The sequence below is a fragment of the Homo sapiens genome, chromosome 11 (genome assembly GCF_000001405.40).
Source record: "Homo sapiens chromosome 11, GRCh38.p14 Primary Assembly".
Classification (NCBI taxonomy): Eukaryota; Metazoa; Chordata; class Mammalia; order Primates; family Hominidae; genus Homo; species Homo sapiens.
In genome coordinates, this window is record NC_000011.10 from 106,849,290 (window position 1) to 106,873,434 (window position 24,145).

A 24,145-nucleotide genomic window follows, 5' to 3' on the forward strand; every position below is an offset into this window, starting at 1 on the left:
GACTTACAATTTATAAATTAAGCTAAATATATATAATATGCAAATTATTATTTTACATATATTATATATGTAATATATAAACATATATATTTAACTTTATACAAGCCTGCATATGGTAATTATAAGCAAATTATAGAAAAAGAAGTATTACAAGGTTCAAAGGAGGTAGCAATTAGTGTTTTGTGGTTTAAGCTGTTGGATTTGAAAGCTAGTACATAGTTATTTTGGTAAATATATTTGATTGAGTGTATTTCGAGGAATAATGTAGAAAAATACGAGCTACAAAATGTGATTTGAGCCCTCTCCCAGCTCCATAACTGAATTTTAAATCTTTTATCATATATCTACAGCTCTGTTTGTATAAATGTTTCATAATGTTCCAAAGGAAAAGGTAACCCCCATTTAAGACACTCTTTTGAAAAATATCTGATGGAAAACCACCAAACCTACCTGAAAATTTCAGCAAAAGGAGAACTAATATTCCATCCAAACTGAGCATTATCTTGGAAAGAATTTAGGGAAAACAGTCACAGGAAGGAGAACATAATAGAGGTGAAGAGGCCCCTTTGTCTTTATTTTTAATGGTTTTATTTAGATAAAATTCACATACCATAGAATTAACCCATTCAAAGTATACAATTCAGTGGATTTTACAGACGATTCAGAGAATTACAGAATCATCATCACAAACCCTTTTAGAATAGTTTCATCACCCCACGAAGAAACTTTGTATTCCATTAGCAGTCAGTCTTCATCTCTCTCCCTCCCTGCGTCAGTCATAGGCAAACTACTAATCTAGTCTTCACAGATTTGCCCATTCTGATGTTTCATATAAATGGAACCATATTCCCATGTTTCCTTCTAAGAGATTTATTAATATCATTTGAGTTCTCCATTTAGGTCTATAATCCATTTTTTCCCTTTTTCTAGTTGATATTTAATAATTGTATACATTTATGGAACGTAGAATGGTATTTCAATGTGTGTACAATGGGTAATGATCAAATCAGGGTAACAAGTGTATCAATCACCTCAAACATTTATTATTACTTTGTGTTGTGAACATTCAAAATCCTCTCATCTAGCTTTTTGAAAAGACACAATAAATTATAGTTATCCATATTCACTGTAAGGTGCTGCAGAACACCAGAACCCATTCCACCTATCTAGCTGTAATTTTTGTATCTGTTAACTAACCTCGTCCCATCTTTCTCTATCCCCTACTCTTCCCAACCTCACCCACAATTCTACTCTCCATTTCCATAAGCTCAAAATGTTTTTTTGGCACCCACATATGTGTGACAACATGTGGTTATTGATCTTTCTATGCCTGATTAGTTGTGTTTAATATAATGTCCTCCAGGCTCATTCATGTTGTTGCAAATGACACGGATGCATTCTTTTTTTATTTCATTGTGTATATGTACTGCATTTTCTTTAACCATTCATCCATTGATTGACATTTAGGTTGATTCTATATATTAGCTATTGTAAATCGTGCTGTAATAAACATGTGAGTGTCAGCAACTTTTTAATATCCTGACTTCGCTGGCTTTGGATAAATACTCAGTAGTGGGATTACTAAACTGTATGGCAGTTCTATTTATAGTTTTCTGAGAAACCTCCATGATGTTTTCCATAATGGCTGTACTAATTTACATCCTACCAACAGTGTATAGGAGTTTCCTTTTCTCTGCATCTTTGCCAGCATTTGTTATTTTTTGTCTTTTTGATAATAGCCATTCTAACTGGAGTGACATCTCTCATTGTGGTTTTGATTTGCATTTCCCTAACAATTAGTGATGTTGAATGCTTTATTCATATATTTCTTGGCCATTTGTATGTCTCCCTTTGAGAAATGTCTGTTTAGTTTCTTTGCCCACTTTTTAAATGGGTTTTTTTTTGTTTTGTTTTGTTTTTTGCTGTTGATTTGTCTGAGTTCCTTGTATAGTCTGTGTATTAGTCCCTTGTTGGATAAATAGTTTGCAAATATTTTCTCCCGTTCTACAGGTTGTCTCATAACTGTTGATTCTTTCCTTTGCTGTGCAGAAGCTTCTTAGTTTAATATAATCCCATTTACCTATATTTCTTTTTTGTCACCTGTGCTTTTAAAGTCTTACCCATAAAATATTTGCAAACACTAATGTCCTGAAGTGTTTCCCTATGCTTTCTTCTACTGGTTTTATCATTTTCATTTTACATTTAAGCATTTACTCCATCTTGAGTTGGTTTCTGTCTATGGTGAGAGAGAGGAGTCTACTTTCATTCTTTTGCATATGGATATCCAGTTTTCCCTTCACTATTTATTGAAGAGTGTATTCTTTACCCAATGTATGTTCTTGGATACTTTATTGAAAGTCAGTTGGCTGTAAATATGTGGATTTACTTCTCTATTCTGTTCCATTGATCTATGTGTCTGTTTTTATATCAATAGCATACTATTTTGATTACTCTTGCTTTGTAGTATACTTTGAATCACACCACGCCAGGTGGTGTGATGCCTACAGCTTTGATCTTTTACTCAGTATTTCTTTCGCAATTAGGGTCTTTGTGGATCTCATACAAATTTTAGGATATTTTTTCAAATTCTGTAAAGAATGTCATTAATATTTTTGATAGAGATTGCATTCAATCTGAAAATTTTGGGGGGTAGTATGGCCATTTTAACATTATTAATTCTTCCAATCATGAGCAAGGGATGTCATTCCATTTGTTTGAGTCCTCTTCAATTTCTTTAATCAGTGTTTTATAGTCTTCATCATAGCAATCTTTCACCCCTTTTGTTTAATTTATTCCTAGGTATTTTTTGTAGCTATTGTAAATGGCATAGTTTTCTTGATTTCTTTTTCAGCTAGTTCATTATTGGTGCGTAGAAATGCAATTTTACTGAACTTGTGTATCACTTCTAAGAGATTCTTTTTTATGGGGTCTTTAGGTTTTCTTATATACAAGATCATGTTGTTTACAAAGAGGGAAAATTTGACTTCCTGTTCTCCAATTTTCATACCTTATATTTCTTTCTCTTTCCTGATTTCTGACTAGGACTTCCAGTACTATGTTGAATAAGAGTGGTGAAAGCAGACATCTTTGCCTTGTCTCAGTTCTTAGAGGAAAGGCTTTCAGCTTTTCCCGATTCAGTATGTATGTTAGCCATGGGTTTGTCATATATGACCCTTATTATATTGATGTATGCTCTTTCTGTGCCTAATTTGTTGAGTCTTTAACATGAAGGGATGCTGAATTTTATCAAATGCTTTTTCTGCATCTAGTAAAATGAACATTTGGCTTTTGTCCTTCATTCTATTGATGTAACATATCACATTTATTGAGTTGTGTAGGTTGAACAATCACTGAATCTCTGGGATTCCTATTTGATCACGGTAAATGATCATTTTGATGTGAAATCGGGTTTGGTTTGCTAGATTTTGTTGAGGAGTTTTGCATCTTTGTCCATCAGGAATATTGGCCTGTACTTTTCTTTTTTCTTGTGTCCTTGCCTGCTTTTGGCATAAGGGTAATGTTGGTCTCATATAATGAGTTAGGAAGAATTTCCTTCTATTTGATTCTCTGGAGTTGTTTTGACAGATTTATTTCTCCCTCATGTTTGAAAGATAGCTTTGCTGGATATAGGAGTTTTGGCTGGCAGTATTTTCCTTTCAGCACTTGGAATAGATCATTCTCTTTTCTCTTGGGCTGTCAGACTTCTGTTGGAAAATCTGCTGTTAGTCTGATATGGCTTCCCTTACATGTAACTGAATTCTTTTCTCTTGCTGTTTGTAGAATTCTCTTTTACTGTTGCCTGTTTGACTAAAACATGCACCAGAAAAGATCTTTTTAGATGAAATATGTTTAGGAATCTTTCACCTTTCTGTATCTGGATGTCTATATCTTCCAAAAGACTTGGGAAATTTTCAGTTATTATTTCATTAAATAGGTTTTCTATAGCTTTGCCCATCTCTTCTCCTTCTGAAAATCCAAATATATCTGTTTACTTTATAGCATCCCATGTGTCACATGGATGTTCTTCACTCCTTTTATTTTCTTTTGGCTTTTTAAAATTTTTTTGGTTTTTTGTTTTTATTGGGGCTGGGTTATTTTGGAAGCTCTATCTTCAAGTTTAATTATTTCTTCTGCTTGATCTAGTCTACTGTTGAAGATATCAATTGTATTTTTAAAAATTCATTGAATTCTTCAGTTCTACAATTTCTGTTTGGTTCTTTCTTACATCTATGTCAAATTTCTCATTCAGGCCATAAATTATTTTTCTTATTTCTTTATATTGCTTATCTGTGTTGTCTTGTATCTCACTAAGTTTCCTTAAGATCATTATTTTGAATTTTTTCGGACATTTAATAGACTTTTCTTTCTGCAGGATCTGTCACTGAAAAAGTATGTTCCTTTGTAAGTGTCATGTTTCCTTGCTTTCTCATTCTTGTGTCCTTATGTTGATACCTCTGCATCTGTCTTAATAGTCACTTGTTCCAATTTTATGGACTGGCTTTAGTCGGGAAAGATTTTTTTCCCTGTAAGTAGATCTTTATTGTTTGTTCAGTAGGGTGTTTTGGCTTTTATTCTGGGAAAGTGCAGTAGTGTAGTCTCTGTATGATTTCTTTGGCTGTAATAAATGTGAGCAGTGAGTTCCTCAGTGACACTGGCTGCAGTTGTTGCTGGCAGCTGTGACAAGGACTTGCTGGGGACAAGGTCACCAGGTGGGCTGGTCCTTGGGCATGAGTGATGTTGCTGGTAAACTAGGCATGCCAGTCCTTGGGCCCTTGGGTAGTATACACTGGCACCAGTAATGGCTGTGGGGTGACCCAGGTAGGCTGATCCTCAAGCCCCAGGCAGCATGCTTGGACATTAGTGGTAGCTGAGGAGGGCCAGGTTGGCATGTGTTTGGGCCCCTGGACAGTGTGCATAGCACTGGCAGTGACAATAGCAGTGGCAGGACAGCCTTGGGCCCGTGGGAGTGAAGACACCAGAAGTAGTGTTTGTAGGCTGGGCAGACCAGTCCCTAGGATCTTGGATGGAATGCCTAGATGAGGAGTACAGCAGCAGGTTGAGTGGCCTGTCTCTGGGGGCCTGGGAAGTGCACATGTGCAGTGGTAGTGACCATGACAGCAGATGGCAGCAGGTAGGCATATGTCAGTGGCAATGAACATGGTAGGCCTGTCCTCAGTCTTCTGGCTAGTGGACAAGGGGGCATGTGGTGGTGAGAAGGATGGGCTGATCCTCAGGCTTCAAAATAGTGCATACAGGCAAAGCGGGGTAGTACCACGTAAGGCGGACGAACCCTCAGGCTCCTGGATGGCATGCACAAGCATCAACAGTGGCGATCAGGGCAGGCCTGCCCTCAGGGCCCCGGATGGATGAGCATGTGGTAGTGGTGGCAGCTATGAGTGGGGCAGGCCAATATGCAGGTATCCGGAGGGTGTATGTGGGCACTGGAGACAGTCTGCCTATGGAAGTCCTGTCCTCAGGCCCTATGAAGGTGCACACAGTTGTGAAGTTGGAGTGGAGGGGAGGTTGTTCTGAGTTGCAGCAGCCCAGAACAGGCAGCTCTAAGGCTCTGGGGAGTATCAGTACTGGGGGCAGCCACCCTGGTGTGCTCTATCACCTGTTCCCCAGGGTGTAGTGCACTGCATAGGCCAGAATCCTGGGGACCAAGCCACAATGCCAGATTTAGCTGTCATTGTGGTGTTGCAGCTTTCTAGGTGAATACAGGGGTTATAAGTGGGACTTTGGGGATGTGAAAATGCAAGGCCCGTTGGGCCTCAGGGAATAATGTAGTCTGGTGGGAGTTGGGTTCTCAAAGTGGCTCCATGCTGCAGCTGCTTTGGTCTCGGGGAGTGAGTGGGAGCCAGTGTGAGTTCCCTCTCTGCAACAATTCACTTGCACAGACCCTAGGCAGCTCCCTGTACTAGGCTAAGGGCCTGTGAGTGCTGAGTGGCTCTCTTGTGGCTAGTATTACCAGCATCTGTGGTGGGAAAGTGGATGGCTGGGGATCTCTCACCTACCTTTTCCCCACAATGAAGACACCTTCCTCATTCCAAACCGATCCTGGCCAGGCCAGCTGCTTGGCTGCCCTCTCACTCTATGCCTCAGAGGGTCCCTGTCACTTCCTTGCTGAATTTCAGTGTTCTCTTAGATACTCTATTCAATGTGTGGTTATCCTCTTGCTGTTTTGGTCCTTTTTTTTGTGGAGGAGGTGACTGCGGGATACTTCTAGTCAGCCACCTTGATCTTTCTCCCAGGTCTACAACCCATTTTGAGTTAATTTTTGTATATGTTTTAAGGTAGCTGCCCAAACTTATTTTTTCACATGGAGATAGACACTTGTACTAAAAACATTTGTTGAAAAAAGACTATTCTTTCCTTGCTGAATTATCTTGGCATCCTTGTCAACAATTAATTGACCATAAAGGTAAGGGTTTATTTTTGAACACTCAATTTTATTACACTGGCCTACATGTCTATATTTATAGCAGTACCACTGTCCAATTAAGACCACTATCTTAATTACTGTAGTTTTAAAATAAATTTTGAAATCAGAAAGTATTAGTCCTTCATAGTTCAAGGGTGTTTTATCTGTTTGGGTCTCTTGTATTTTATTTATTTATTTATTTATTTATTTATTTATTTATTTATTTATTTTTGGTGACAGGGTCTCATTCCATCACCCAGGCTGGAGAGCAGTGGTGTGACCTCAGCTTACTGCAGCCTCAACTTCCTGGGCTCAGGTGATCCTCCCACCTCAGCCTCCCAAGTAGCTGGGACTACAGACATGTGCCACCACACCTGGCTAAATTTTTTTTTGTATTTTTTTTTTGGAGACAGAGTTAAAACTACAAAAATTAGCCAGGCATTGTGGTGGGTGCCTATAATCCCAGCTACTTGGGAGCCTGATGCAGGAAAATTGCTTGAGCCCGGAAAGCAGAGGTTGCAGTGAGCTGAGATCATGCCACTGCACTGCAGCCTGGGCGACAGAACAAGACTCCATCTCAAAAAAAGAAAAAACGTGTTAGCTAGAAGAAAATTATTCCGTCTTCACATGCCCCAAAGCCTGGGCATTTTGTTTCACTGTCATTTTACATAAGTAATATGACAGAAAGAACCACAGAGAATAAAAAAGATCTGCCTTTTTTTTTCTGAATCTGAAGCTATACGAGTTTTGGCAATCTTATTTTCCTTATCTACAACTCAGAGATAAGACCATCAGTTCTATCTGTTTTTAAGGATTAATTTTGAAGATAAAGTGAAACTATGTTAAATATTTCTGTAACTAGAAAGTTTCATTCCTCTATATCCTATTACATTTATTATTTCTTGAATATAATATAAAAAATTATCTCTGCAGACAGTCAAAATTTCCATTAAGTGTCTGAGAAGCAAGACTGGCACCTTAATCTATGTCCCTGGGGTAAGTATTACAGCACCACGGTGTGCATTGTACTGAAATGAGTACCCGTGGTGATGTGTACCCAGTTCCTTTTTCTTTCCATTACTCTTTCTTCTAAACTCTATAGCACCAAAAGTAGAAGGCAGAGCTCTGCCAACTTCCCTACTTGGTGTCTTTATAAGAAATGCAGACATCATCTGGACATTCTTTTCACTTAAACCGTACAGTTTATACTAGTCCCCATAGTGCTTTTCACTTCTAGAAAACAAAGCTAATCTCCAAATAACTGGTATGTTCCCTTAAAATGGACTATATCCTACCTACAGAATTACCTAAATGAGCTATTACATATCTACTTCTATGTCCAAACCTAGCATTAAGTGAATTAACTTCCTCATTTCTATAACCTTGAGAATAAATTTAGTCCTTGTCTTAGCTAGGGCTGCTATAACAAAATACCACAAACTGTATGGCTTAAACAGCATTTATTTCTCATAGTTTTGGAGGTTGGAGGTCCAAAATCAGGGTGCCAGAAGGGTCGAGTTCCTGGTGAAGACCCTCTTTCAGGTTTTAGACTGCTGACTTTTCACTGTATCCTCGCATGACAGAAAGCTAGCTAGCTAGCTCTCTTTTTCTTACACAGGCTCTAATCTCATTCCTGAGGGCTCCACCCTCATGACCTAATTACCTCCCAAAGGCTCCACCTCCAAGTACCAACACATTTGGATTAGAATTTCAACATATGGATTTTGGGGGAACATAAACATCCCATCAGTTGCAGTCCCCTACTTACACACAGCTTCATATAAAACCAGTCATTGCTGCTTCTCATATCTTGCTTTCTCAACCTTCAACTGACCTGACCTTTATTCTAACTCCTCCCTCTATTGTAGGTCACCTTGCCTTTGCCAAATGATTCAGTTTTTTCGAGAACGTACAGTCAGCTCTCTGTATCTGTGGGCTCCACATCCATGGATTCAACCAATTGTGAATTTAAACCACTTGAAAATAAACTGCATCTGTACTGAACATAGATAGACTTTTTTCTTGTCATTATTTCCTTAAAAATACAGTATAGCAACTATTTACATAGCATTTACATTGTATTACGTATTCCAAGTAATCTATAGATAATTTAAAATATACACGAGGATATGCATATGTTATATGCAAAGGTTATATGCAAATACTATACCATTTTATATCAGGAACTTGAGCATCTTTAGATTTTGGTATCTGTCAGGGATCCTGGAACAAATCCAGGACTTTAAGAAGGAAAAGTACAAAAGGAAAAAATATATGATATAAAGATTAAACTTCCACAAACTAAACCCAAGATAGGCCTCTCAGCAATGACAACCAACCTGAAAGGCAATGTGCCCCAAATGTACCTTTCACATATATTGTCTAAAGCTTTCACTTCAATTCATCATCATGCCTAAATTTTCAATATTTAACAGATTTCAAAAGATAGATATCTCTTAAAACATAAATAAGTCTTGGAGAGTTATGGTTACCAGTGATTCACATCTTAGTAAAAATTAATGTAGCTAGATTGTTTACCTTTTAATGTCTATTTAAATTCTATGAGTTATATAAAGAAATGAATTATTTGTCAGGGAAAAGATTAGATCATCTTGAATGAGAAGCAATTTGTAAAGTTGAAAAGCTTTGGCTGTATACCACATTAAAGGACTTAGGGCACTATAATGTCAATACTCATCATATATTTAGTGAGTTATATCATTTAATCTTCTTGACAAGCCTGTGAAATAGATACTACTGTTATCTCTGTTTTATAGATGAGAAAACTGAGACTATGGGGAATTAGGAAACTTGGCTAGGAATACATCATCAAGAGGTAGAGGCAGTAGGATTTAAACACAGGTCCATCTAAACTCAGAACCAGAGTTCTAGGCCTCTATGATGCCTGGCACGTATAGACCCAAGACCAGAAGTATTATGACTTATAAGGCAGATAAAAATGGATTACAAATATGTGAGAGACAAATTCCTTTGACAACCTTTGTTGGTATCAAATATTGTTCTAGGCCTAAATCTAGAAGACAAGGAGAAAAATCACTATGTTGCCAGTCCACTCCCAGCTTTCTTCAGGCTAAAATCTTAGATGAGTACAATTCCAGGCCACTGTATTTAGATAACAGGTTTTCAGAAAGTAACCTGAGAACATAATAAGAAATATGTCACATAAGCAGATAATTGTGTTTTGATTACAAATAGCTGATTTAAAATTGAAACATTGGAGCAGGGGCCATTCAATAATTCTGGATGCCTTGATCACATATAAGATACATAGGTTATAAAATCTGAAAACTGTAAATTAAAATTAACCCTGGCCTCTTTTTGTCATAATTTTTAGGGACTGTAGTTCATTGTTACAATAATTTGACCTACTACTGACATTATGTAAAATTAATGAATTCAGATTAAAATGAAGGGTAAGAGTGCAGTAATTATAAATAATCTTACATCTACAATTCAATTAACAGGCACCAAACTGTGAACCAAGATTGTCAGTGAACTGATAACTTTAAACCTGAATCCAATCCTGTGTTAAGGCTTGGTATTTTTGTATGAACATTTGAACTTCCCTGAAAAAACAGTACTTTATTACCAACAGGGGATAATAGACATTGTCTCATACTTAAATTGAGCTGGCCATCCATGCTTAATTTATGTATTTATTCTGCTGAACCTCATCAGTCTATTTTCCCTACCCTGTTAAAAAATAAATTACAAGAAAGGTATAGTGCCAACGGAATTGTACAATAGATTTAATTAATTGACTTCATAAAAGTTTACTAAGCATCTTTTATGCAAAAGGCATGATCAAAAATTTAAGTACTAGTCAGACAGATTCCTGTTCTCAAGAAAAGTGCATTTTTAAAAGTGAAATAAGATTCTACAAAAAATAATGACAATACAAATACCAGGTAAAAGTGCAGTCATACATCACCTAACAATGTTCCAGTCAATGACCGACCACTTACACAACGGTGGTCCCATAAGATAATACCATATTTTTACTGTACCTTTTCTATGTTTAGATATGTTTAGATACACAAATATCATCATGTTACAATTGCCTAGAGTACTCAGTACAGTATCATTCTGTACAGGTTTGCAGCTTCAGAGCAATAGGTTATACATAGCCTAGGTGTGCAGTAGGCTCTACCATCTAGATTTGTGTAAGTATACTCTATGATACTTGCACAATGATGAAATCACCTAAAAATGCTTCTCAGCAATTATCCCCATTGTTAAGTAATGCATGACTGTACTGTAATCTAGCACTAATGGGAGGAGTTTCATCTAATTCAGCATAAATAAATGAAATTACATGAACTAATATGTGTAAAGTGCTTTTAATTGCTATTTTACTATTATTACTCAACATATTTAAATTTTATGAATTACTTAAGTTTATGTTTTAAAATACCAAAATATGTTTCAGTTTTAACATATTGGGTTAAAAAGAGCTAATAATGTATACACACAGTGCTCTGCTGTTTTCCAGAGTACCCAGACATAAACATTTCTCAAAACTAAGAGTAATAGTATGAACATTGATTTTTTTTTTTTTGCTGTGATGTAATACAGCAATGCTTGCAGGGGAAAAAAGGAAAACACATGACATGAACTAAGTGTCTAGTATTTATCAAACATTTTACATATTAAATATGTACTAAAATGTATATTTTAATATTTGTTAGAGTTTCTGTCTTTCAAATTATAGGTCATTTTCCTTTATAGCCCCATTGACATCAGGTTTTCCACTATCACATTTGCTGTCATTAGGGGCAACTCTACCCAACCATAGTGTATTTTACCATATTGTATCTAATCTGTTGTGGACTGGGAAACCAGACAACCAAGCATATTCAACTATGTATAAAGAGAGTAAGTGAGAGCATAATGAATTCTTTTTACGTGCCTGGTGACCCAGATTTTGTGGTCTATATTTTAGCTTCTCAGAGCTTTCTATACATACTTGGCTGAGTTCACAAAACTTGAAGCTGTCAGATAATGCAACTCCATATAAAGGAGGTGCCAATGTCTATCCTTTCACTTATTGTTCTAATGGCTGAATTAACTCACAAAAATTAAGACAGTGCATCTTCTGTTGCTGCCACTGAATATGCAATGCCATCATAAATAGCTAAAGAATACCCATCCCAACCCTCATTTCAGCTTGACTCCAGTCCAAGGGATGAATCACAGATAAGAAAGGGAAAAGCTCTACTCTTCCTGTTATAAAGATAAATTTTAAGAAGGAGGAGGAGGAGGAGGAAGATGAGAAGAAGATTATTTGCTTATGAAGAGGAAGGAGGCAACTTCCTTCTCTTATCCTCCTGAGTCTCCTTGAAAACACAATGTGCTTGAGTCCTCGCTCTAACCTATTAGATATAAATGGTCTCCACAGGGTCTAGATAAACCCAGTCTCTAGTTTCACACTGCAAAGATGTCTCCAAGGTTGCAGACCTCATAACCCCTTGAAATATAAACATACTCTTAGAGCTAATCTAGGAGCCTATCTTGAGATGTAACTGAGGAAAGAAGAGAAATGTTATTTCATTTTCTTATTCTTTGCTGTATAAATTGTGTGAAATGTCATTCTGTCTTCAAAGGTTTTGTGTGCTGTCTACATGCACGTAGTCTGTTGTGTGTACTCAATAACAAATCAGTATTCTTTTTTCCCATATTGATGTGGATAGGTGTCTCTTTGTTGCTAGGACTTTTTACTTATAAACTTCCCATTTGTCAGCCATGTTCCCATCAACTTTCAGTTCTGAAATAATCATCTTCCCCAAAGCACCAAGCTTCAGAAACAAGTTGGGGCTCTATCACTAAGAGTCATTACAGCTATGGTTAGCAAGTTAAAGGGATGTTCTTAGGATAATAAATACATCCCTAATTCTGAAGGCAGAGATGTGTATAAAAGAATAGCATTTAAAATTAGGATTTCCTTTGATATATTACGTACTCAAGCTTACAATATGGTAATGCAATTTTTTCTTGAACAAACATGCTATTAAAAATGAAATGCTCAAAATCAAATATGGGGAAATTACTCATTTAAAAAAACACTTTTATCTCATTTTTCTATATTTTATTCCCTTAACAACACTTATCATTATCTAACATTAGCTTTTATTCAACAAACCATTTCTTTCTACCAAATTTTCTGTAAAATAACAAAACTCTGATAAACTAATGGTGAAAAGAGGAAAACTTCTAAAAGCAAGTGTTAAGGGCAGTTTTGGTTTTCCTCTTCATTAAACACTGTAGAGAAATCTGTACCTAAAGACATAATAAATGAAAAATGCAAAATTATGTCGTCAGTCCCCTTCGTCAACACAGATGACCTTAAGTGCTCTAAGAATGCAACACATAGCATCTATTGTTCTGCCCACCCCACTAATAGGTTTAGAACACTGTTTTCTTCACCAGAGTCTGTGTTAATAGTGGAAAGACTATATAGGCTTTGAGGTCACAGAAGATCTGTATTTAAATAAAGTATCTATTACTCACTGACCTCAAACAAGTTCCTAAGTTTCTCATTGGTAAAATGAAGATAATACTACTACTTTCATATAATTGTTATGAGAATTGAATGAGATATAAAAAAAACACATCAATAGATAAGTTTCTAGTACAAACAAGGAGGTTAAATGGTAGCTGATATCATCATCATCATCATCATTTAACCATGCTCAGCATCCCAGCCAGAAGCATCTTGCTCCTGAACAGCTTCTGGATTTTATTTAACTCTGTAAAAAACAAACAACAAACAAAAAAACCAGCCTTTTCTATTGTGAAAACTGAAAGAAGCAGCACCTCACTGAAGGAACAAAGAAACATTTAAAACCTTTGTGGGCACTCTAAGGGAATACCCAGAGAAGAGTGATAATTGCTGTCTTCCTTAGGCAATTAATACTATACTGAACCGTTTTTGCTAGATTAATGGGAGACTCTATTCCAATTCCTTCCCTGACCAGAAACTGGAATGAGGAGAAAATTCTCTGCAAATTGAATTTAAGAAAAGGGAGGCATGGAAGTGGCTCTGTAAACGACTCTGTTCTAACAGATCCCTGGCTGGATTTTCAGATACATTAGGACAAAAATCCTGGGAAGTGCAAACTGCTCTTTGTTTCTATGCTTTTAAACTTCTCTCTTTCATTGAGATACCTAGAGAAGATTTCTTTTGAAAAATGCTATGCTTTGTAAACTAAGAGGAAGAAAGATCTGCCAACTTTAGGGCATTTGTGAATCATCTGTGACCTGGGACAGAGGTGGCTGGGGCTGTCTCTGACTATGCTGCCCCCTCTCACTGCTTAGTCCTCAAAGATAAACTTGTAAGAGATTTGTATCGAGGCTAAACACAAAGGGAGAGTGAAAGATAATCCCTTTTGCTGTGCAGAAGCTCTTTAGTTTAATTAGAACCCATTTGTCAATTTTGGCTTTTGTTGCCATTGCTTTTGGTGTTTTAGTCATGAAGTCTTTGCCCATGCCTATTTCCTGAACGGTATTGCCTAGGTTTTCTTCTATGGTTTTTTGGTTTTCGGTCTTAGATTTAAGTCTTTAATCCACCTCGAGTTAATTTTTATATAAGGTGTAAGGAAGGGGTCCAGTTTCAGTTTTCTGCATATAACTAGCCAGTTTACCCAACACTGTTTATTAAATAGGGAATCCTTTTCCCATTGTTTGTTTTTGTCAGGTTTGTCAAAGATCAGATGGTTGTAGATGTGTGGTGTTATTTCTGAGGCCTCTGTTCTGTTCCATTGGTCTATATATCTGTTTTGGTACCAGTACCATGCTGTTTTGGTTGCTGTAGCCTTGTAGTATAGTCTGATGTCAGGTAGCACGCCTCCAGCTTTGTTCTTTTTGCTTAGGATTGTCTTGGCTATATGGGCTCTTTCTTGGTTCCATATGAAATTTAGAGTAGTTTTTTCTAATTCTGTGAAGAAAGTCAATGGTAACTTGATGGGGATAGCATTGAGTCTATAATTACTTTGGGCAGTATGGCCATTTTCATGATATTGATTCTTCCTATCCACGAGCATGGAATGTTTTTCTATTGTTTGTGTCCTCTCTTATTTCCTTAAGCAGTGGTTTGTAGTTCTCCTTGAAATGGTCATTCACAAGCCTTGTAAGTTGTATTCCTGGGTATTTTATTCTCTTTGTAGCAATTGTGAATGGGAGTTCACTCATGATTTGGCTGTCTATTACTGGTATATAGGAATGCTTGTGATTTTTGCACATTGATTTTGTATCCTGAGACTTTGCTGAAGTTGTTTATCAGCTGAAGGAGATTTTGGGCATCTTTGAGACAGGGCATCACACACCCTGCCTGTCGGGGGTTGGGAGCGATAGGGGATGGATACCATTAGGAGAAACACCTAATGTAGATGATGGGTTGTTGGGTACAGCAAAACACCATGGCACGTGTATACCTATGTAACAAACCTGCATATTGTGCATATGTATCCCAGAACTTAAAGTATAATAATAATAAGAAGAAGAAGAAAGATAATGCCAGACTTGAATTCTCTCTACCCAGGACTTTTTTTAAAAACTCGTATGGCAATTATTATATAATTTATATATAATTACATAAAAATGGGGTTTTCTAAATATACAATCATGTCATCTGCAAACAGAGACAATTTGACTTCCTCTCTTCCTATTTGAATACCCTTTCTTTCTTTCTCTTGCCTGACTGCCCTGGCCAGAACTTCCAATACTATGTTGAATAGGAGTGGTGAGAGAGGGCATCCTTGTCTTGTGCCAGTTTTCAAAGGGAATGCTTCCAGCTTTTGCCCATTCTGCATGATATGGGCGATGGGTTTGTCATAAATAGCTCTTATTATTTTAACATACATTCCATCAATACCTAGTTGAGAGTTTTTAGCATGAAGCGGTGTTGTATTTCATTGAAGGCCTTTTCTGCATCTATTGAGATAATCATGTGGTTTTTGTCAATGGTTCTGTTTATGTGATGGATTACCTTTATTGAGTCACATATGTTGAACCAGCCTTGCATCCCAAGGATGAAGCCGACTTGATCATGGTGGATAAAGCTTTTTAATGTGCTGCTGGATTCGGTTTGCCAGTATTTTATTGAGGATTTTCACATCAATGTTCATCAGGGATATTGGCCTGAAGCTTTCTTTTTTTGTTGTGTCTCTGCCAGGTTTTGGTATCAGGATGATGCTGGCCTCATAAAATGAATTAGGAAGGAGTCCTTCTTTTTCTACCGTTTGGAATGAATTTCAGAAGGAATGGTATCAGCTCCACTTTGTACCTCTGGTAGAATTTGCCCGTGAATCTGTCTGGTCAACTACTAATTACTGCCTCAATTTCGGAACTTGTTATTGGTCTATTTAGGGATTTGACTTCTTCTTGGTTTAGTCTTAGGAGGGTGTATGTGTCCAGGAATTTATTCACTTCTTCTGGATTTTCTAGTTTATTTGCGTAGAGGTGTTTATAGTATTCTCTGATGGTAGTTTGTATTTCTCTGGGATCAGTAGTGATATCTCTTTTATCATTTTTTATTGTGTCCGATTCTTCTCTCTTTTCTTCTTTATTAGTCTGACTAGCAGTCTGTTAATCTTTTCAAAAAACCAGATCCTGGATTCATTGATTTTTTGAAGGGTTTTTTGTGTCTCTATCTCCTTCAGTTCTGCTCTGATCTTAGTTATTTTTTGTCTTCTGCTAGCTTTTGAAATGTGGCACATATACACCATGGAATACTATGCTGCCATAAAAAAGGATGAGTTCATGTCCTTTGCAGGGACATGGATGAAGCTGGAAACCATCGCTCTCAGGAAACTAACACAGGAACAGAAAACCAAACACCGCATGTTCTCACTCATAAGTGGGAGTTGAACAATAAGAACACATGGACACAGGGAGGGGAGCATCACACACCTTGCCTGTCAGCGGGTGAGGGTGATAGGGGAGGGATACCATTAGGAGAAACACCTAATGTAGATGACAGGTTGTTGGGTACAGCAAAACACCATGGCACCTGTATACCTATGTAATAAACCTGCATATTGTGCATATGCATCCCAGAACTTAAAGTATAATAATAATAATAATAAAAAGAAACATAATCCCAGACTTGAATTCTTTCTACCCAGGATTTAAAAACAAAACTCATATGGCAATTATTATATAATTTATATATAATTATATAAAAATGCATATGGAAATTATTTCCTTTGTTAGAATGTAAACTTCTTGAGAAAATAAACATTGTCTTTCTCTTTGGTTTACTCCACAGCATCTATCATAGCACCTTGCACACAGTAAATGCTGAACACATATGTGTTAAGGCTTATAATATTCACTTATGCTTTTATTTTAGTATGCATATTATAAAGAAGCAGTGTATGTGGTGCAAAAAGAACTAGATCAGGAACATCTAGGAGCTACTTCTGGCTCTGGCAGTAATGAACCTGTTTGGGCCTTCGTTTCCTCAAATGAAATAGTTAAATTGGATTATCTCTAATTTAATTTCAAGTTCTTGAATTAAAAAAAAAATGAAAGAAGGAAGGGAGGACAGGAGGAAGAAAAGGGGGAGGTTAGGAGACAGAGAGGGAAGTAGAGAAATGGTGCTTCTCCTGTTAGACTAATGAGTCACAAAACATTTCCTAAGGAAGCATATTTGTCATTTAATGACTTCAATGCATGACTTGAGACAGTGTGGACGTCGCTGCTGCTATTCAACTAAAGACAAATTTTAGTAAATTGAAAGAGATTTGGAGAGAGAATGAACTATTCTGTGCTCAGGCAGATGCAAGGAAGAGAATGCGGATGAGCCACTGAAAATCGCCAGTTCCCAAGGTCATTCTGCAAGTTGGTCCTTCTATGTTCAGTTAGCATTTTTGTACCTTTTATTTGGTCTGTGGTAATAATGACATTTCTCCCTTAGTTTGCTAAAGCCTGAGCATTCATTCAATAGCTCCTCATCTTTGTAATTCAAAAGGTGAAGAGGCAAATTAGTCAATTAAAATGCACAGTATCTGTGGTGTGTACCTCAGTGTCTTAGAATTGCTATCTGCTGCTCCATGGAATAACACAGAGAGAATCTTTTCTGAAATGCAGACAATGAGGATCTTACCTTATAGCAACAACCTACAGTAATGAATTATGTTGCCATTAGTTGATACTAGTAAAACCTTTTCTAATACAAAAAAAAATCTATTTTAAAAGATAGCACAGGTCATAGCTGCCCACCAAATTTCCACAAGCCCTAGGTACTGCTTTCCCCTAAGTATAAATATTAACCAAACTTTCTTTAGAATACTATCTATGCATTTCAACAAATAATACCAAGTTTCCCCCAAATTAATTAATTAATAAGTCAGTTAATTAAAAATAAAGTGCTACTGGACTCACTCCTTTAGGAAGCTAAAATATCTGGTGGTTCTCAAAGAGAGGTAATCATCTATGTTTATTATAAAGATAGTTGGTTTTCTACAAAAATGTACAATTTATTTTTAAAACACTGTCCAAAGTATATTATGTGTTAAACACTACACAGGGAAATAAAAGAGACATAAAGATATTTATCAGCCTGCTGTCACAATCTCAATCTTATTTTCTACCATTCTGAAAACACCACAGTGTCTAGGAGATAGACATACGTATCAGACACCAATACAAACTATGAGCAATAGAGACTCTCCAGTTAGGAAGAGAAAACAGAGCACACGCTAGAACAGAATTATTTTCTAGTTGAGACTAGTTGAAAAGCCATCTTAAGTTTTCAGTCTGTAGAGAATCCTCTAGAATTAAAATTTACTTAGACTGGCTAAGTTTTAGTACATCCTCATCCAAGATCCAAAATATCTAATCAGCATCTTATAACATATTTAATATAAGATGAAATAAATTAAATCCAAGTTCAACGACACAGCATGAATGCTAAGGACCATTATAGCACTTTAAGAACAAAATTCAAGCTTAATAGACTCCTCTGAATAAGTTAAAAATTTCAAAATAAAACAGGCCAAATGAATTTTTGGTGCAGATCACTGAATCGTTGATTTTATATCAAAGACTAGAATATCAATATTTAGGACACAAAAGAAAAAAGAGGAATGGAACAGAATTAAGAGGTTTTTAGTGGCCATGGCATGGTAGCTCAGTGCTAGTAAGCACATGATTATTTATAAACTAATCTGCATATGGAATGACATTTGTTCCAAATTTATTATTGAATTTATATGAGAATTGCCTCTCCCACCTTAAATACACACCCCAACCCCCAAAAAACCCTCTGGTCTGGTGACAGATATGCAGAACAAACTAAAAGTAAATTCTGAAAGCTCTATTCCTAAAGTGAGTTAGTAGTATGTAGTCTTCGGTTTCATAATGTTCAAGATAAAATACTGAATAAAACTACATAAACCCAGGTTAGGGAACATAATCTAAAATTTGGTAGCTATAAAGCTATGCCGGTACCTAGAAAAGGCAAGATTGAGTAGGTGAAATGATAAGTAGTCATAACATTGAATGATAATTTACAATTAAGGAAAAGTGTGTCTCACATATTCAACCTAATAAGCAATGCAGTTAGGCAAAGAGGAAGTCAAATTGTCCCTGTTTGCAGATGACTTGATTGTATATCTGGAAAACCCCATCGTCTCAGCCCCAAATCTCCTTAAGCTGATAAGCAACTTCAGCAAAGTCTCAGGATACAAAATCAATGTGCAAAAATCACAAGCATGCTTACACACCAATAACAGACAAACAGAGAGCCAAATCATGAGTGAACTCCCATTCACAATTGCTTCAAAGAGAATAAAATACCTAGGAATCCAACTTACAAGGGATGTGAAGGACCTCTTCAAGGAGAACTACAAACCACTGCTCAACAAAATAAAAGAGGACACAAACAAATGGAAGAACATTCCATGCTCATGGATAGGAAGAATCAATATCATGAAAATGGCCCTACTGCCCAAGGTAATTTATAGATTCAATGCCATGCCCATCAAGCTACCAAGGACTTGCTTCACAGAATTGGAAAAAACTACTTTAAAGTTCATATGGAACCAAAAAAGAGCCCACATTGCCAAGTCAATCCTAAGCCAAAAGAACAAAGCTGGAGGCATCACGCTATCTGACTTCAAACCATACTACAAGGCTACAGTAACCAAAACAGCATGGTACTGGTACCAAAACAGAGATATAGACCAATGGAACAGAACAGAGTCCTCAGAAATAATACCACACATCTACAACTATCTGATCTTTGACAAACCTGACAAAAACAAGAAATGGGGAAAAGGATTCTCTATTTAACAAACGGTGCTGGGAAAACTGGCTAGCCATATGTAGAAAGCTGAAACTGGATCCCTTCTTTACACCTTATATGAAAATTAATTCAAGATGGATTCAAGACTTAAATGTTAGACCTAAAACCATAAAAACCCTAGAAGAAAACCTAGGCAATACCATTCAGGACATAGGCACGGGCAAGGACTTCATGTCTAAAACACCAAAAGCAATGGCAACAAATGCCAAAATTGACAAATGGGATCTAATTAAACTAAAGAGCTTCTGCACAGCAAAAGAAACTACCATCAGAGTGAACAGGCAACCTACAGAATGGGAGAACATTTTTGCAATCTGCTCATCTGACAAAGGGCGAATATCCAGAATCTACAAAGTACTCAAACAAATTTACAAGAAAAAAACAAACAACCCCATCAACAAGGGGCAAAGGATATGAACAGACGCTTCTCAAAAGAAGACATTTATGCAGCCAACAGACACATGAAAAAATGCTCATCATCACTGGCCATCAGAGAAATGCAAATCATAACCACAGTGAGATAACATCTTATGCCAGTTAGAATGGCAATCATTAAAAAGTCAGGAGCAACAGGTGCTGGAGAGGATGTGGAGAAATAGGAACATTTTACACTGTTGGTGGGACTGTAAACTAGTTCAACCATTGTGGAAGACAGTGTGGCGATTCCTCAGGGATCTAGAGCTAGAAATACCATTTGACCCAGCCATCCCATTACTGGGTATATACCCAAAGGAATATAAATCATGCTGCTATAAAGACACATGCACATGTATGTTTATTGCAGCACTACTCACAACAGCAAAGACTTGGAACCAACCCAAATGTCCAACAATGATAGAGTGGATTAAGAAAATGTGGTACATATACACCATGGAATACTATGCAGCCATAAAAAAGGATGAGTTCATGTCCTTTGTAGGGACGTGGATGAAGCTGGAAACCATCATTCTCAGGAAACTATCGCAAGGACAAATACCAAACACCGCATGTTCTCACTCATAGGTGGGAAATGAAAAATGAGAACTCTTGGACACAGGAAGGGGAACATCACACACCAGGGCCTCTTGTGAGGGGGGGGGAGGGGGGAGGGATAGCATTAGGAGATATAACTAATGTAAATGACGAGTTAATGGGTGTTGCACACCAACATGGCACATGTATACATACGTAACAAACCCATACATTGTGCACATGTACCCTAGAACTTAAAGTATAATAAAAAAAATATATCTATAAAAAAACTACACCATAGCAGGTGCAACTTAGTTTCAGCAAACATTTACATTCATATAATTTAACACTGTTAAATTGAATTTGATTAGTTTTGTGGGAGTTCTTTGGTATTTAGTTTATAAATATATTTTATTTTATAGTTGTATGTGAATTATATGTACAAGAATTCCAAATTCCTGTTAGGTTTGAACATAACCAATTAACATTAATATAAAAATAATTTAAGTAAATACAGGGGATCAACAAGAAGTTATTTTGTATGTTTTTGTTGTTGTTGTTACTTGTTTGTTTCCCTTCCTTTGAAAGAGCTTGCTACACATCTAAAGTTTGTAGGGGTGGGAATTATTATAATGGCTGCGTATGACCTTCAGAAAGAAATCCAAGATCTCTCAATAAACAGCTCTGGATAACTTTTCCAGCCTTCTCTCTTCCCTGCCACTGACTGTACTGCAAACAAATCTACTTACCTAGATTTCCAGAAAGCTTCTTCTTCTCTCCCATCTCCATGCTATGCAAGGTTCTTTCATTCTTTTGTTTTAATTAATTGATGTATGTGGTTTCGCCTAAAGCCATACATCATATTGCACTCAACCTTAAATTCAGTGCTATGGAAAACTTCCCAGGTTTCTTCCCCCTATTCTTGCTTTCTCCTAGGACTACAGGTATCCTATTTCATTACACTTGTTGCTCTAAATTACAGTGATATTTTCATTGGCTTATTATGATAAGCTTCTCAAGTCCAAGGACCATGTCCATATTTCCAGTGTCTAGCTTAGTTCCAAGTGCATAATTAGCAACTAATAAACAATTTTAAATGAGTACACAGTGGAGTAAGTGAGCATCTGACTACCTGGAATTTGTATAAACTTAGAGGAACATTAAAATATCCTAATAATGTGATGATTAATCAACCTTCAGTAATCTTCAGAGAAACACAGAAAACCAAATTACTGCCAGAAGAATTAAGATGAGTATATTTTGATCTAATTTCAAAAAAGGGGTAAAAATGAAATGTCGACATTAGCGTTATGTCAAGGTTTTTAATTTTCTACAAACTGGCAGTCTTAAAATAACAAACATTTATTCTCTCACAGTTTTGGATGCTAGATGTCCAAAAATCAAGGTGTTGACAGGGTGATGCTCTTTCTAAAGGCTTTAGGAAGAATCTGTTCCATACAGCTCTCTTAACTTCCAGTATTGTCAGCAATCCTTGCTGTCCCTATGCTTTCAGACATGTGACTCCCATCTCTGCCACCATGGTCACAAGGAATTCTCCCTGTGTATCTGTCTTTGTGTTTCTTCTCTTCTTACAAGGATACCAGTTATATTGTATTAAAATAATGACCTCACCTTAAGGTCATTTGATTATAACTGCCAAAAGCTTATTTCCAAATAAAGTCACATTCACATGGAAAATGAAATGGACATATTTCTGGGACTCAACAAATGTGCATTAAAAGAAAAGGTATGTCACATTAACACGATTTCTATTTGCTTTAAGGTTATTATACTATTTGATCTGGGTAATGTCAAAGATGTAATGTACTTTGATTTAGAAGATATTTAACAGACTCATTATGAATTAGGAGTATAGACAGGAAAATATTAGCTGGTTTAGGTGAATTAAACTAATTAGTCAAATCCCTGAAGTATTTTATATTGCAAATTCTGCATATTACCAGCCTTGACGTGTGTTCTATAGTGCTCTGCTGTAGATGTTGTCATGTATCCTTTGAAATTCTACATTTTTATCAAAAGTTAGAATGAAAGTATATTTATCTAAGTTACACAGGATTAAAAAACATAAGCGGTTGATAACACAGAGAAAGAGAATGAAGATTTAAGTATCTCTACAGGCAATTATGCTAGACCAAAATTAACTATAATTAAATTGAACAAGAATAAATGTAAAACCTTGTAACATAGGAATCATCTGCACGATTACAGGATTGGGCAGAATCAACACAGGAGTGAGTCTTGGAAAACTAATCTATGGGTTTTAAAGTCAATATATACAAATATAATGTAGCTGACAATTATAGCAATAAAAATACTAATATTATCATAAGTGACACTCATATTCCTACTTGCAGAATCCAGAGAAAGGTCACAACATTGCTACATACCAGTCAAGTTGCTTATTATTAGACTATCTACATTCTGAGGCTGGAATGTTCTATGAAGAGCATGATAAATAGTTTGAATGACTGGAACTTTAATTCTGAAGACTAGAAGATAAGGAACAGACACTTTTAAATATCTGAGGGATAGTCATATAAAAGAGATTTATACTAATTTTAATTTAAGGAGTTGAGAATAGGACCAGTGAATACAAATCAGAAAAAGATCTCAGCAAAATATATAGGCAAAAAGCCGGCAATTAGCAGTACTCAAAAGTGTAATTGCTGCTTTGTGAACTCTGGATATAAGCATGCTGTCTGGATGACCAATTTAAGTCCCAATTCTTCAGAATGGTGCATGTGCACACACACACATACCAACACAAAAGCTGTTCTTTTTTTTCTTTTTTAAAATTTTACTTTAAATTCAGCTACACATGTGCAGAACGTGCAGATTTGTTACATAGGTATACATGTGCCATGGTGGCTTGCTGCACCCATTGACCCGTCCTCTGAAGTTCCCTCCCCTCGCCTCCCACCCCCGAAGAGGCCCTGGTGTGTTTTGTTCCCCTCCCTGTGTCAATGTGGTCTCACAGTTCAACTCCCACTTATGTTTGAGAAATGCAGTGTTTGGTTTTCTGATCCTGTGTTAGTTTGCTGAGAATGATAGCTTGCAGCTTCATCCATGTCCCTGCAAAGGACATGATCTCATTCCTTTTTATGGCTGCATAGTATTCCGTGGTATATATGTACCACATTTTCTTTATCCGGTCTATCATTGATGGGCATTTGGGATGGTTCCATGATTTTGCTATTATAAATAGTGCTGCAATAAACATACATGTGCATGTGTCTTTATAGTAGAATGATTTATATTCCTTTGGGTATATACCCAGTAGTGGGATTGCTGGGTCAAATGGTACTTCTGGTTCTAGATCCTTGAGGAATCACCATACTGTCTTCCACAATGAATGAACCAATTTACATTCTCAATGACAGTGTAAAAGCATTCCTATTTCTCCACAGCCTCACCAGCATCAAATG

The 24,145-nt window shown here is 36.6% G+C and overlaps 1 protein-coding gene and 1 long non-coding RNA gene across 3 annotated transcripts in view; one reads left to right on the top strand and one right to left on the bottom strand.

Moving 5' to 3' along the window:
* Positions 1–24,145, bottom strand: part of GUCY1A2 (guanylate cyclase 1 soluble subunit alpha 2) — a 344,458-nt gene that overhangs the window by 175,271 nt on the left and 145,042 nt on the right. The window lies entirely within an intron of this gene.
* On the top strand, positions 7,353–8,429 carry LOC105369475 (uncharacterized). Its single transcript, XR_947986.3, has 2 exons — positions 7,353–7,417; positions 8,290–8,429. It is a non-coding gene; the product is annotated as an uncharacterized LOC105369475 (long non-coding RNA).